Source organism: Homo sapiens, chromosome 18 (genome assembly GCF_000001405.40).
Source record: "Homo sapiens chromosome 18, GRCh38.p14 Primary Assembly".
Taxonomy (NCBI): domain Eukaryota; kingdom Metazoa; phylum Chordata; class Mammalia; order Primates; family Hominidae; genus Homo; species Homo sapiens.
In genome coordinates, this window is record NC_000018.10 from 46,429,086 (window position 1) to 46,442,320 (window position 13,235).

The 13,235-nt window shown below is 46.8% G+C and overlaps 1 protein-coding gene and 1 long non-coding RNA gene across 6 annotated transcripts in view, besides 1 other annotated feature; one reads left to right on the top strand and one right to left on the bottom strand.

The window, feature by feature from the left end:
* ARK2C (arkadia (RNF111) C-terminal like ring finger ubiquitin ligase 2C) overlaps positions 1-13,235 on the top strand; it is a 129,123-nt gene that overhangs the window by 95,068 nt on the left and 20,820 nt on the right. For 2 of the 5 annotated variants that reach the window (NM_152470.3, XM_011526016.4), the window contains exons 2-3: positions 4,105-4,420; positions 6,204-6,311. The exons of 1 other annotated variant lie outside the window; for it this stretch is intronic. In NM_152470.3, coding sequence (NP_689683.2) covers positions 4,105-4,420; positions 6,204-6,311 — 424 coding nt within the window. Of the gene's footprint in view, positions 1-4,104; positions 4,421-6,203; positions 6,312-7,190; positions 10,801-13,235 lie in introns of those variants that run through there. 2 more of the 5 variants (XM_017025788.3, XM_024451191.2) reach the window with 2 other exon arrangements.
* On the bottom strand, positions 147-4,442 carry LOC124904293 (uncharacterized). The gene is made up of 2 exons (XR_007066355.1): positions 4,342-4,442; positions 147-329 (listed from the first exon to the last, which is right to left on the bottom strand). It is a non-coding gene; the product is annotated as an uncharacterized LOC124904293 (long non-coding RNA).
* Positions 6,225-6,725: an enhancer, noted in NCBI's record as "H3K4me1 hESC enhancer chr18:44015273-44015773 (GRCh37/hg19 assembly coordinates)". NCBI's record gives its function as "activates a minimal SCP1, AML or CMV promoter by ChIP-STARR-seq in primed H9 embryonic stem cells {active_cell/tissue: H9 hESC(primed)}" and the evidence as "EXISTENCE:reporter gene assay evidence [ECO:0000049][PMID:30033119]".

The window sequence follows — 13,235 nt, forward strand, 5'->3', positions numbered from 1 at the left end:
TGCTCATGCTGCAGCCCCCGGACTCACCAAAGCCAGAATCTATAAGGCAGAGAGGCCTGACTTATGGAAATCCTTGTGGGAATTAAAGTTCTAGATAATTCTTTTCTGGCTCACTTGCAGTCAGGCAGAAATTCTTTGGATTTTCATTTCTTTTTGCAAAGATTTATTTTTAAAAATTGATCAGTGACATGCACGTAATATACAAGGCTGAATAGACTAGCATAAGACACATTGAGCCAAGCAGCTTCGGTCTGCCCTTTGCCCTCCACACCAGAGGCAAAATCCCTCAACCGCAGTGCGCTTTTAACTCTTCTTCAGGCATTTCTTTCCTGAAAGACATAAATTACCAAGCAAATTTACAACCAAAGATTAGATTTCTATTTGTCTATTTTTAAATTTCTGATATTGCTTATGTTATTCATATTGTGGAAGAAATGTCCTTTTCTGTTCTAATATAGCTTATTATTTGTTTTATTGTTAATATAGAAATGATGTTTACTGTTGAGCCAAGTATAACATCATACAGGTAGTTACAGTTTCTTAAACAACTTTTTCTTTTCCTGGTCATAATAATTGCCTCACTTTCTTTGGATTGTTTTGTTTTCCATAGCATTTTTACAAATTCTTACCAAACTCTCTATCACATTATAAAATTCCTTCAAATACTATTTTTTAAAATACTCTTTTTTTTTCCTTTCTTTTATTGAGATGGGGTCTTGCTATGTTGTCCAGGCTGGTCTTGAACCCCTGACCTCAAGTGGTCCTCTTGCCTTACCCTCCTAAGTAATCCCAAAGTGTTGGGATTATGGATGTGAGCCACTGTGCAGTAATACTGTTTTCATGTGGCCACATTTGTCAGCAGTCCCATTGTTTCCAGTCCCCTCTCCTCTCCTCCAGATCTCCTCCCAGAGTCCCCGCCCTCCTGCTCCCCTGTGGAATGGCTGCAGAGATCCCTGCGCAGCTGTGTGCTTGGGAAGCTTTCCACCTCTGTCAGGTGCAGCCTTATTTTGTTGTTCCTCTTTCTTGGTTTGTGTTAGTACCTTTTTGAGAAGGAGTGTTGAGAAGGTTAATTTTTTTTGAGCTCCTATATGTTTGAAAATGGCTTTATTCTATTCTCATACTTGATTAATGGTTTGGCTGGGCAGATAATTCTAGATTGGAAATCACCCTTCCCCCTCAATACCTTGAAGGTAGCTGCTCTATTGTTTTCAAGCTTCTGGATTAATTCTTGAAAAATCTCAAGCTGTTCTGATTTCTGACCTTCATGGGACCTGTTGGATTTTTCTCTGGAAGGCTTCAGAACCACCTCTTTGCTCTCATTGTTTGGACACTTCACAGGGAGATGTCTTTCGGGTGGGTTCTTTCCCCCATCCATTTTGCTGGGCACTCAGAGGCCTTTTCTATCTAGAAATGCAGACTTTCAGTTCTAGGAAACAGGCTTTGTAGTTTTTGTTCCTAATTTTCTCCCTATCATTTCCTCCATTCTTTCTCTCTTTCCAGTGAAATGTGCAATTTCTGACGGGTTCCTTCAACGTTTGCATCTTTTTTCCTCCCATTCCCCATTTCTCTGTCTTCTCATTCCGGTTTCTGAGAGTCCCCAGCTTTGTCTTCCAATTGCCCTGTTGAATTTCATTTCACCTCGTACATTTCTAATTTCCAAGAGCTCCTTTTCTTGTTTTCTCATTGATCCTTCTTCAAGAGCTTCCTGTTGTTGCATGGATCCAACATCTTATTTTCCTGAGGGTATGGATTATATTGTTTTGAAGTTAATTTTTTTCTAGCCCTTGCATTAACTCTGTTCCTCGAGTTCATTGTTTAAAAATTATTCTTTAATTTCTGGGATACATGTGCAGAACGTGCGGGTTTGTTACATAGGTATACACGTGCCATGGTGGTTTGCTGCACCCATCAATCCATCATCTACATTAGGTATTTCTCCTAATGCTCTCCCTCCTCTTGCCCCCCACCCCTGGACAGGCCCCGGTGTGTGATGTTCCCCTCTCTGTGTCCATGTGTTCTCATTGTTCAACTCCCACTTATGAGTGAGAGCATGCGGTGTTTGGTTTTCTGTTCCTGTGTTGGTTTGCTGAGAATGATGGTTTCCAGTTTCATCCATGTCCCTGCAAAGGACATGATTCTCTGAGTTCATTTTTAAAAATTTGGTAGGTTCTCTTTCTCTTTTCACTTTGTAATCAAACGACCGATCACTCTTAGGCTCTCTGTTCATGCCAAAGAGTAGGTCACTAAAGCTGTCTAGAATGTCTGTGTGCCTTGAGGGTGAGAATGGACTTTTCAATGAATGGGCTTCATTATACAGTGGCCAGTTGGGGACCCAGTGATTTATCAGGGGTGCTCTCAACCAGAAGTATCTGCAGAGCTCTTCCTAGGACCAATGATTTTCTTTAGAGAAGCATCCCCCAGTTTCACCCTGGGGCTGTGGAGGGTGCAGGGGAGGGGCACACGCTTAGGTAACAGTGTTTTTGGCACCAAGTAGTAGAAGAGGAGAGGGATTCCAAAGTTCCATATTCAGACTTTCACTTAATCCTGCTGTGTTTGTTAGCATGGTGCTGCACCCCTGCCCTCTCCTGCCTCGGGTCAACCCCCACTCCTATTGGAGCCTCTCTGGAAAGAAAGTCACTGCCTTGCATGAGAAAGGGGAGGAGCCCTGGGCAGAATTGCTCCTTACACAGATTGCAATCAGTCTCCCTGTTCTCGGCTCTGCCCTTTCTCCTGCCTTCCAAAGTAGCCACTGCCTCCAATTCCTGACCCTTCCAGCATTGTGCAGCAAGACTTGTCCATTCCTTCTTGACCACTCCTTTGGTAGGTGCTTGGTGTTCAATTTCTCAACTCTGCTAATTCCTCCATCTGCTTTCTTTTTCTTCCAAAAATTTGTTGACATCTGTTGCCTGCTGATGTCACCTTTCCTGTTATCTGTCCTTGTCTGTTTATTGTCTCTATTCCTTTGTTCTCATTTTAGTGGGTATTGGGAGGAGCAGACATGTACTGAATCTGCCATGTTTAGCAGCAAGTTTTCTGTAAATCTTTCTGAAATGCCGGGTCTACTTCTTGGCCTCATTAAAGGCCTCCCTTTGGCACCTAGAGCTGGATTTTTGCTTAGAGAGAATTTGTAAGGTTTTCTTGTCATCAAGCTCAATTTTATTTAGAAAAGGACTAGAGCTCAAATTGAATGTAGCCTGAACCCAGCTTATACCTGGACATGTTTGCTTTTAAATAAATGATAATGTTATAACACATTATTTAACTATTACTTAAATTAAAAACTATTTCGTGTGATCTGAGTCTTTTTTTTCCTTAAAAGTGTATGCAAAACAACTTCTGGTTGTTTTATTCTCTGGGAATTAGGGCTCCATATGGATTGAGTCCTGGCTGGCCAGGCTTCAGTGAAATTCTGAGCTTGGCTAGGCTGGACTAACTTTTCTCCATGTGGCATCTTTAAAAAGGTAGTAGGGTCAGTGGGCTTGCATAGGAGTCTAATTCAAAAGGCCAAGCTTTAGGAACCTTAAAACTTTTAAACAAGTATGTTAATTATAAAAAGGATGCTTATGTATTCATTAAAGATACACTTCCCCGGCCAGGCGCGGTGGCTCACGCCTGTAATCCCAGCACTTTGGGAGGCCGAGGCGGGTGGATCACGAGGTCAAGAGATCGAGACCACGGTGAAACTCCGTCTCTACTAAAAATACAAAAAATTAGCCGGGCGCGGTGGCGGGCGCCTGTAGTCCCAGCTACTCGGGAGGCTGAGGCAGGAAAGTGGCGTGAATCCGGGAGGCGGAGCTTGCAGTGAGCCGAGATCGCGCCACTGCACTCCAGCCTGGGCGACAGAGCGAGACTCCGTCTCAAAAAATAAATAAATAAATAAATAAAAAATAAAGATAACACTTCCCCCTCCATCAGGTACACGCACACAGCCTTCACCTGGCTGGGTTAAGGATGACCACATGCCTCTAACAGTGATGACGCTGCTGTGTCCTAATGTAGGTCTTGAGCTTCACCAGCCCCAGGCTGCCCCGGGTGGGCACAAGGGTCAGTGTGGCGGCCGCTCGTGCTGGTCGTCATGGAGATGTCTCTGTCCTTGCCTTCCAGGTGCCCCCTTTCAAAGGTCTCAGCATCCTCACGCTACCTCCTGCCGCCACTTCCACCTGGGCCCCCCGCAGCCGCAGCAGCTCGCTCCCGACTTCCCGCTGGCCCACCCCGTGCAGTCGCAGCCAGGCCTCAGCGCCCACATGGCCCCGGCCCACCAGCACAGCGGCGCCCTGCACCAGTCGCTGACCCCGCTGCCCACCCTGCAGTTCCAGGACGTCACAGGTCCCTCCTTCCTACCTCAGGCCCTGCACCAGCAATACCTCCTGCAGCAGCAGCTCCTGGAAGCCCAGCACCGCAGGCTGGTCTCGCACCCCAGGTTGGTGCTGCCTGGGGCGGAGGTGGGGACCCGGATGGGGTCGGGTGAGGGGGCAGGGCCAGGGCGTGGGCAGGGCCAGGACGAGGGCGTGGCCCGGGTGTGGCGGAGACGGGGGCGGGGCTACAGGCTCCTAGACTCCTGGCTTCTCTCCCTGGCCTGGCCGGCAGTCACCAAGTGGGTCTCTGTAGGAAGTAGCTATTGTTTCAGAGGCATCCACTTCAGGCAGTGAGCACTGTCCTGATCTGACAGGGGCTCCCTCAGAAGCCAGTGTGTGTCCCCATTGCATCACCCAGGTGCAGGGTCGGGGACGGGTAACTGGTGGTCCACGATCCTCACAGTGGACTCCTGCATGGTGCGGGAGGAAATTTGACTAGGGAACTCCTCATGTCCCCTCCAGCTTTATGACTGCCTGATTCTAACACCCAAGCACCCTAAAGAATACCAAAAGGAAATGGCTGGTTCCAGGAACGGCTGGTTCCCACCCTCAAGAATTCTCACCCTCAAGAGTTCTCAAGAGCCCACGGTCTAGATAGAGTCCGGCTGCATATTAATAATTAGGAAACAAGCAGGGAGTGAAATTAGACAATTCTAATCAAATAGGTCTGGAGTAGTTGTGGGGCCCTGGGTAAGTCACTGTGCCTCTCTGAGCCTCAACTGTCAAGAGAAAGAGTTGGATAGTCAGTGGATCTCAAACTTTTTGGTCTCAGGACTCTTTTCCACTCTTACAAATTAATGAAGACTACGAAGAGCTTCTGTTTATGTGGGTTTTGACTATTGATGTTTACCATATTAAAAATAAAAACTAAAAAGTTTTAAATATTTATTAATTCTCTTAAAAATAACAACAAATTCATGTTAACACCAATAATATATTTTTATGAAAAATAACCACTATATATAAATTTAGTGAGAAGAATGACTTTTTAAAACATATTTGCAAATCTCTTTAATGCGTGGCTTAATAGAAGGCAGCTGTGTTCTTATGTCTGCTTCTGCATTCATTCTTGCAGAATCTGTGTCATGTAGTTTCTGGAAAACCTCTCTGTTCATTTGTGACAGAATGAGAGTGAAAAGGCAAATAGCCTTATAGTATTATTAGGAAAATGGTTTTGACCTCTTGAACCACCTGAAAGGGTTGCAGGGACTCCCAAGGATGCTCGGAGCACACTTTCAGAACTGCTGGACTAGATCATCTCTAAGGCCCTAAGCATACATGACCATAGGGCTTGGGATGCTTGAGATAGAAGGTGAGCGCTGTAGGAGGTCAGAAGGAGAAGAGGTCACCATGACCTGGGATGTTCAAGGAGGCCTTCCTGGAGGAGGAAGGCTTTGACCTGTGCCATGAAAGCTGGGAAGAGTGTTGAAAAAGGGTTGAGGAGAGGAGAAGAGCATGATGGGAGTAGAGGGGTGCATAGAGCCTGTAGGAGGCGAGTCTGTGTGTCTTGAAGATGGCCCACCAAGGACAGAGGGAAGAAAGGCAAAGAGGCAGAGAGTGTGGGTGGAGCCAGGTAATCTACCACAGACACACCAAGGGAGAGACCTCTGCACAGCGGGCAGCCCGGAGACAGCCAGAGTTCCTGAGCTGCAGATGAACAGCAGTTCATCTGGGAAGCTTCCTTGGAGTTTGTCAAGAGTGGTGAAGCTCAGTGCTTGCTAGACTGTGGGTGCTAAGTGGGGCTGCAAGAGTGGGGCACCCTCAGGCTGCCCCGGTTTCTCAGAGCTCTTGAGAACTAGTGGCCTGGGTAGCCCCTGACACGAGGGCTCTCCATCCCTTCTGGTGCAGGCGGAGTCAGGAGCGTGTATCTGTCCACCCCCACCGCCTCCATCCCAGCTTCGACTTCGGCCAACTGCAGACACCTCAGCCCAGGTATTTGGCTGAGGGCACTGACTGGTGAGTCTTCAGGGCCCCTGGGGGAGGAAGGGAGGAAGGGAGGGAGGAGGGAGGTCTTGCCAGATCTGTGGAGTTTCTGTTTTCCTTCACTTTGAATGGCGCAGGAGGCCTAGTTCTCAGGCCCCAGCGTTTGCCTCTGCTCCCAGCCACCCTCTGGGCCAGATGGTCCCACGTGAGCCTGGTTCTAGCAATTAGCTCAGATATTACTGGGTGCTATTATATGCCCATCGTAGGACACAGTGTTCATGGTCCTGCAGTGGGGGAGGGGGACAGGGATAGAAAACATTTCCCAGGCTCAGTGAGGGATATGAACCAGTGGTCCCTGGGGGGAGAGCAGAAAGGAGAATTCCGAGGAACTGGGTTGTCAGGAAGGCTTTCTGGAGCAGGTGCATCTCAAGGGATCCACAGAGAAGTGCCAGGGCATGCCAGCAAGGCAGTGCTGGGTGGGGTGGCTGTGTAAACACAGGCTTACATTGCATCTTGAAGGATGGAGGCAAAGCCAGCCAGGTCAGAGGTCAGGACTGAGGAGGGGAGCTGGGGAGAGAGGTTGAGGGTGGTGTTGTTGCTGAGTCTTTGCAGATAATGGGCCCCTGAGCAATCTGCCCATAATTTCCCTCACTCAGCACAGATATCTTTGTTGTCCTGAGATGCAGGGTCGCTTGGTTTTGGATCCTGGGTCCCACCAGATTCTGGTTCTAGCTCATAAGAGAGCTGATATTAACTAGAGTTGGATCAGAACCCTTGAAAACTTAAAAAGATGTGCAGTTCACTGAATATTCAGAGGTAAAAGGCATCATGCCTGCAGAGTTCAGGGGAAAAAAATCTATCTATCTAATCTATCATCTATCTTCACAGAGGATTGTGTGTGGGTATATATGTATGTGTGTGTGTGTGCGTGTAAGTATATACATTGTGGGGGAGAGAGAAAGGGAGACAGAGAGAGAAGGAAATAGAAATGCAGTAAAATGGTGACATTTGGGGAATCTGGGTGAAGGGTATACAGGAATTCTTTATGCTGTTCTTGCAACTTTTAGGTCAAAAATATTTTGTTTCATTTTGTTTTGTTTTGGAGTGTAAAATAATCTATCAATGGAAAAGAATGAATTATCTTAAAGATTGATGTGCCGTTGTGTCATTTTTCAGCCACTTGTCAGGCTTAGTCCAGGGTTGCTTTGGGAGCCCTTCCCATGCACACCCAGGAATGATTCCAGAGAATAGTTCCAGTCAGTTGAATGCTATGGGAGCTTCTAGGTGCAGGAAGTCGTGGCTTTCACATGTTCCATTTTCTTCAGTCCTTTGCTCATTCTCAGGTACACTCTCCATTAAATTGAACAATTCCATAAAAGATAGATTGCACTACAGCCAACTTCTGCCCAGCCTTTTCCAATTAGCAGATTCAAATTAGGAAGATTTAATTGCAATTTGGATTGAATTCTGTCCCTCAGCAGTCAAGTCAATTTCATTTAATTCAATTCAGCACACACGGAGTACTCAGGGCCCTTGCATATGGCTGAGTGATTGGAACACACACAAGGGCCTACAGGGAAGTGGGACTGAACAGGTGACATAGGTGGGACTCATCCTGGGGAGATGGCAGGAGGAGCAGCACAGGTGCTGGCCCTGTCCTCAGCTTTCTTTATAGAGCCAAACCTCCTTGTCTTTCTTAATCATTTAAACCAGTCTGCATTCCTGACCACTACCTGCCCCAAGAAACAGAAAGAAGGAGGCTCCGGGAGGCTGGTCCCTGCCCTAGCAGGGGATGCTAGGAGGCCCTGCCTAGAGGCCCGCCTGGTCCACCCTTGGGCTCTTTCTGCTTGTTTTGTTCCCACTTCCCAAGTAGGATGCTGATTCTCCTCCCTTGTAATTAGCTCTGCTCCAGCGGGGGCCAGCCTAGTGGCGCCGAGGGGTTTTGTGATTGATTGTGCTAACTGCATCCCAGCCCTCTTTTCTAGAGAGGCTGCTTCTGCCAGGAGATAGGCAGCCTGGTAATTGGATGGCAGGAAATGCATTATAGGAAGGGCTACTCTCATCCTCTGCAAGGAGCCCTGGGGGAGTGTGTCTGTTGCATCCCCTATCCCCTTTAGAGAACCATCAGAGACCACAGACTTCTGCCCTAGGTCATTCCAGAAACTGGGCTGCAAGCCCATGTCCAGCCCAAGGTCGTCCACCCCCTGAGGTTACCCTGGCCTTTTTTCCTACTTTGGGATATCTTAACCCAACCCAAGCAGCTTCTCTCAGCTGGGAACCCTGGCCTGAGAGTGTGTGGAAGCCTTGGGGGATACATCCCAAACCCCTCTCTTTCTTGCCCATGCCTAATAACTTGATCCTGACCTTAAGCCGCAACCCAGGGCCTGAGTTCTTTTCACTCTCCTTCTTGGACTCAGTCCTGGCTTCTCAGTTCTAACTCTGCTCCCCATTGTGGACTATACCCCACTCTGTCACAGCTGCAGCCCTGCCTAGGTGGAGGTCTCTAAGTACCTGGGACCTGTGGGCAGAGGGTGGGTGGAGGGTGAGCACCTCCGATTGTCCTTTCCCCTCCGGGCAACCTTGCCTCAGCAAAGCTCCCAAAGCTCCCTGAGCCTGGAGTCACCCATAGGATGGTGCTGGCACTCGTAGGGCCAGATTCTGGGAAGAACTTAGGGTCTGTACAGCAACCAGACCACACCATGTTCAAGAACATTAAAAGTGGAAAATAAAGTTCAGCGTGATGTTTAGATACAAAGGCCAAAAATGACACATTGGCACAAGAAATCTCCAAAACACAGTTCTGGGTTAACCCTGTGGCTTTAGGTCTGTGGGATATTCCTGTGACCCCTTTAGACACTTAGCAAGTTCTTACAGGCTGGTGGCAACAGCAAAGGCTGGAGACACTGCTGCCTTAGGGGCTAATTTCTCTTTGAGTCAGGTCCTGGTCAGACTTCTTTAGGGTTCGAGGAACCACATCCCCTGTTGGGGTAGCCCAGATCCATCATGAGAGCCCACCCAGGCCCACCTAGGGCAGACCATCCCACCCATTTGAGGGACAAGGTGCCTCTTGCTTTTCCAGTTAGCATTCTTAGGATTGGGATGACTCTGTTCCAAGTTCCTTGGGACTTTGCTTTGGTAGAATTCCTTGAACATTTGTTTTGAATTTGTTAGGCTCCCTGAGACTTCTGGGTAAATGCTGAAAATCAGAGATTCTGCCATGTGAGGCAGTGCAATGGATTGAGCCCAGGCAAGGGTGTGAAACCCTGATGGTCCCAACTGGACAGCCAAGGTCCATGAATAAGGCACTGTCCTTCTGCAGGCCTCAGATGCACCTGTGAATATGAGGGGCTGACCTAGTGGATTTCTAAGTTTGCATCCAACTGGCTCCAAGAGTTTAGTTCATTTCCCAAGTGACAGGCTCATCATGAGCTGTTCCAGGGATTCGGGCTGATAATGGCTTTTTGCATCTGTGTAGTGCTCTACAAAGAGTTTTCACCTGCATTTTCTCATTTGATGCTCCAACATTACCATGAGGAGCTACTGTTATCATCATCTTAGAGATGAGGCTCAAAGAAGTGAATTAGCTAGAGAGGGTCTCACAGCTAAGAAGGGATGGACTTGGGACAAGGACCTGGGTCTTCTGACAGCTGCTGCTGTTCAGGCTGTGGTGTGCATGGAGTCTGTGAGAGTGACTGGCAGTCCTTCCTGCCCGTAGCAGCTGGACCTGGGCTGTGCAAAGAGGAGGATGGGGCCAGATGCCAGGGACCATCAGAGACCATCAGAGAGCTCCTGCCAACTCTCCAGGGCTCATACTCTCATGAGCGTAACCCAGGTAACAGGGATCAGACTCCCCTGAAGGCTGATGGCTTTGTTGGGTTTTTCCCTCAGAAAGATCTCAGATGACATTGCAGGGCAATGCGTAGCCAAACCCAGGCCATGTGGGATCCAGGCTCAGTAGCAGCAGGCACAGTGGGAGCATAGGAAGTTAGTGATCAGGGCCTGCTCACAGCAAGATGAGGAGGGGAAGTCTCAGAGTCCCATGCCTCCTGCCATCTCGCTCCTGTAGGATCTGAGGTTGAACCTTCTGAGGCCCTGGCATTCCTCTCAAGGGTGCTTTTAGGGCCTAGCTGCACTTTCCCAAAGGGAAGCTGTGTCCTAATTACCAGGGACCACTTCAATGTACACAGCACACTGCAAGAAACGACTGCTTGCAGCATATTTTCTCTAATAAATGCCACAAGTTTCCATGCATGCTTTTGGTATTTCTGAAGTTGGTGCCCATAGAGGTAAAACTTGGAGATAGTGGATGTTACCTTGGCACAATAGATAAACTTTTTTATTAAAAAAAACCCTTTTTATTATAGAAAATATCAAACAATAAAAAAATAAGAGAATAGTATAATGAATTCACACATATATGTTATCCAGCTATGACATCAACTCATGGCCAGTTTTGTTTTTGTTTTGTTTGTGTGTTTGTTTTTTTGAGACGGAGTCTCGCTCTGTCGCCAGGCTGGAATGAAGTGGCACGATCTTGGTTCACTGTAAACTCTGCTTCCCAGGTTCAAGCGATTCTCCTGCCTCAGCCTCCTGAGTAGCTGGGACTACAGGCGCACACCCTACACCCAGCTAATTTTTGTATTTTTAGTAGAGACAGGGTTTCACCATGTTGGCCAGGATGGTCTCGATCTCTTGACCTCGTGATATACCCGCCTCGGACTCTCAAAGTGCTGGGATTACAGGCGTGAGCCACCACGCCCAGATCTCATGGCCAGTTTTACTCATCTTTGTTCTCTCGCTTCCCCGGTCCTGATATTACAGTAGTCTCCATTACCTGTGGTTTCGCTTTCCAGGGTTTCAGTTACCCATGTAAACCACGGTCTGAAGATATTACAGCATTTTGAGAGACTGAGAGAGAGAGAGAGAGAGAGAGACCATATTCACATAACATTTTTTGCAGTATATTGTTATAATTGTTCTATTTTGTTATTGGTTATTGTTAGCCTCTTACTGTGCCTAATTTATAAATTAAGCTTTATCATTGGTGTGAATATACAGTATAGGAAGAAACATAGTATATATAGGATTCCTTATTATTCACAGTTTCAGGCAGCCACTGGTGTCCTGGAACATATCCCTCACAGAAAAGGAGAAACTAGTATATTTGGAAACAAATCCAGGCATCATATTATTTCATCTGTAAATATTTCACTATGTATCTCGAGAGATAATGATTCTGCTTTTTCACATCCTTACTTTGATACCACTATTAACACAAAGAAATTTAATAATAATTTTTACTATAATCAAATATCTAGCCAGTATTAAAATTTCTGTTATACTTTGTATCAATCAAGATCCGAATAAGTTTTACACATTGTGATTGGTTGATATGTCACATAAGTCTCATTTAATCTACATGTTCCTGGATTCAAATTGCTAAAATTTTGTTAAGTAATTTTTACATCTTTGTTCATGAGTAATATTGGTTTATAGGGTTTTTTTTTTCCTTGAAATGCCTTTGTCTGATTTTTATATCAGTGCACTGCTTGCCTCATTGAATGGTTTGGGAAGTCTTTCCTCATCTACTTTCTGGAAGAGGTTGTGTAGGATTGGCATTATTATTTTTAATTAATTAATTAATTTTTAGATACAGGGTCTTGCTCTGTCACCCAGGCTGGAGTGCACCTTGGCTCACTGCAGCCTCGATCTCCTGGGCTCAAGTGATCCTCCTGCCTCAGCCTCCCAAGTAGCTGGGACTACAGGTGTGCACCACTGTGCCCAGCTAACTTTTTGTTTTTTAAATTTTTGTAGAGACAGAGTCTTGCTATGTTGCCTAGGCTGATCCTCTACTTCTGTGCTCAAGCAATCCTCCCACCTCACCTCCCAAAGTGCTGGGATTACAGGTGTGAGCCACTGTGCCCAGACGCAGGCTGGTCTTACATGCCTAGGCCCAAATGATTCTCCTGCCTTAGCTTCCCATGTAGCTGGGATTACAGGTGTGTGCCACTGCATCTGGTAATTTTGGTAGTTTGTCTTTCAATAAATTTTCTCATTTAATTGGATGTACTGGCATAAGGCTATTCATAATATTTTCTTATCATTTTAACATCTGGAATCTGTAATAAAGCTCCCTCTTTCATTCCTCATATGAGTAATTTGTATGTTCTCTCTTTCATTCTTGATCAATCTAGATAGAAATTTAATCATTTGTACTACTCTTTAGAAAATAGCCTTTGATCAGGCCAGGCGCGGTGGCTCATGCCTGTAATCCCAGCACTTTGGGAGGCTGAGGCAGGCAGATCATGAGGTCAGGAGATCCAGACCATCCTGGCTATCATGGTGAAACCCCGTCTCTACTAAAAATACAAAAAATTAGCCAGGTGCAGTGGCGGGCGCCTGTAGTCCCAGCTACTCGGGAGGCTGAGGCAGGAGAATGGCGTGAACCGGGAGGCGGAGCTTGCAGTGAGCCTGGGCGAAAGAGCGAGACTCCATCTCAAAAAAAAAAAAAAAAAAAGAGGCCGGGCGCGGTGGCTCACGCCTGTAATCCCAGCACTTTGGGAGGCCGAGACGGGCGGATCACGAGGTCAGGGGATCGAGACCATCCTGGCTGACACGGTGAAACCCCGTCTCTACTAAAAATACAAAAATTAGCCGGGCATGGTGGCGCGCGCCTGTAGTCCCAGCTACTCGGGAGGCTGAGGCAGGAGAATGGCGTGAACCCGGGAGGCGGAGCTTGCAGTGAGTCGAGATCGCGCCACTGCGCTCCAGCCTGGGCGACAGAGCGAAACTCCGTCTCAAAAAAAAAAAAAAGAAAAAGAAAATAGCCTTTGATCCCATTACTTGTTTTTTATTTCACTGATTTATTTCACTGATTTCTGATCTTGATTTTATTATTTCCTCCCTTCTACTTATTTGGGCTCTAGCTTCTTAAGGCGGAAATTTAGATCATGACTT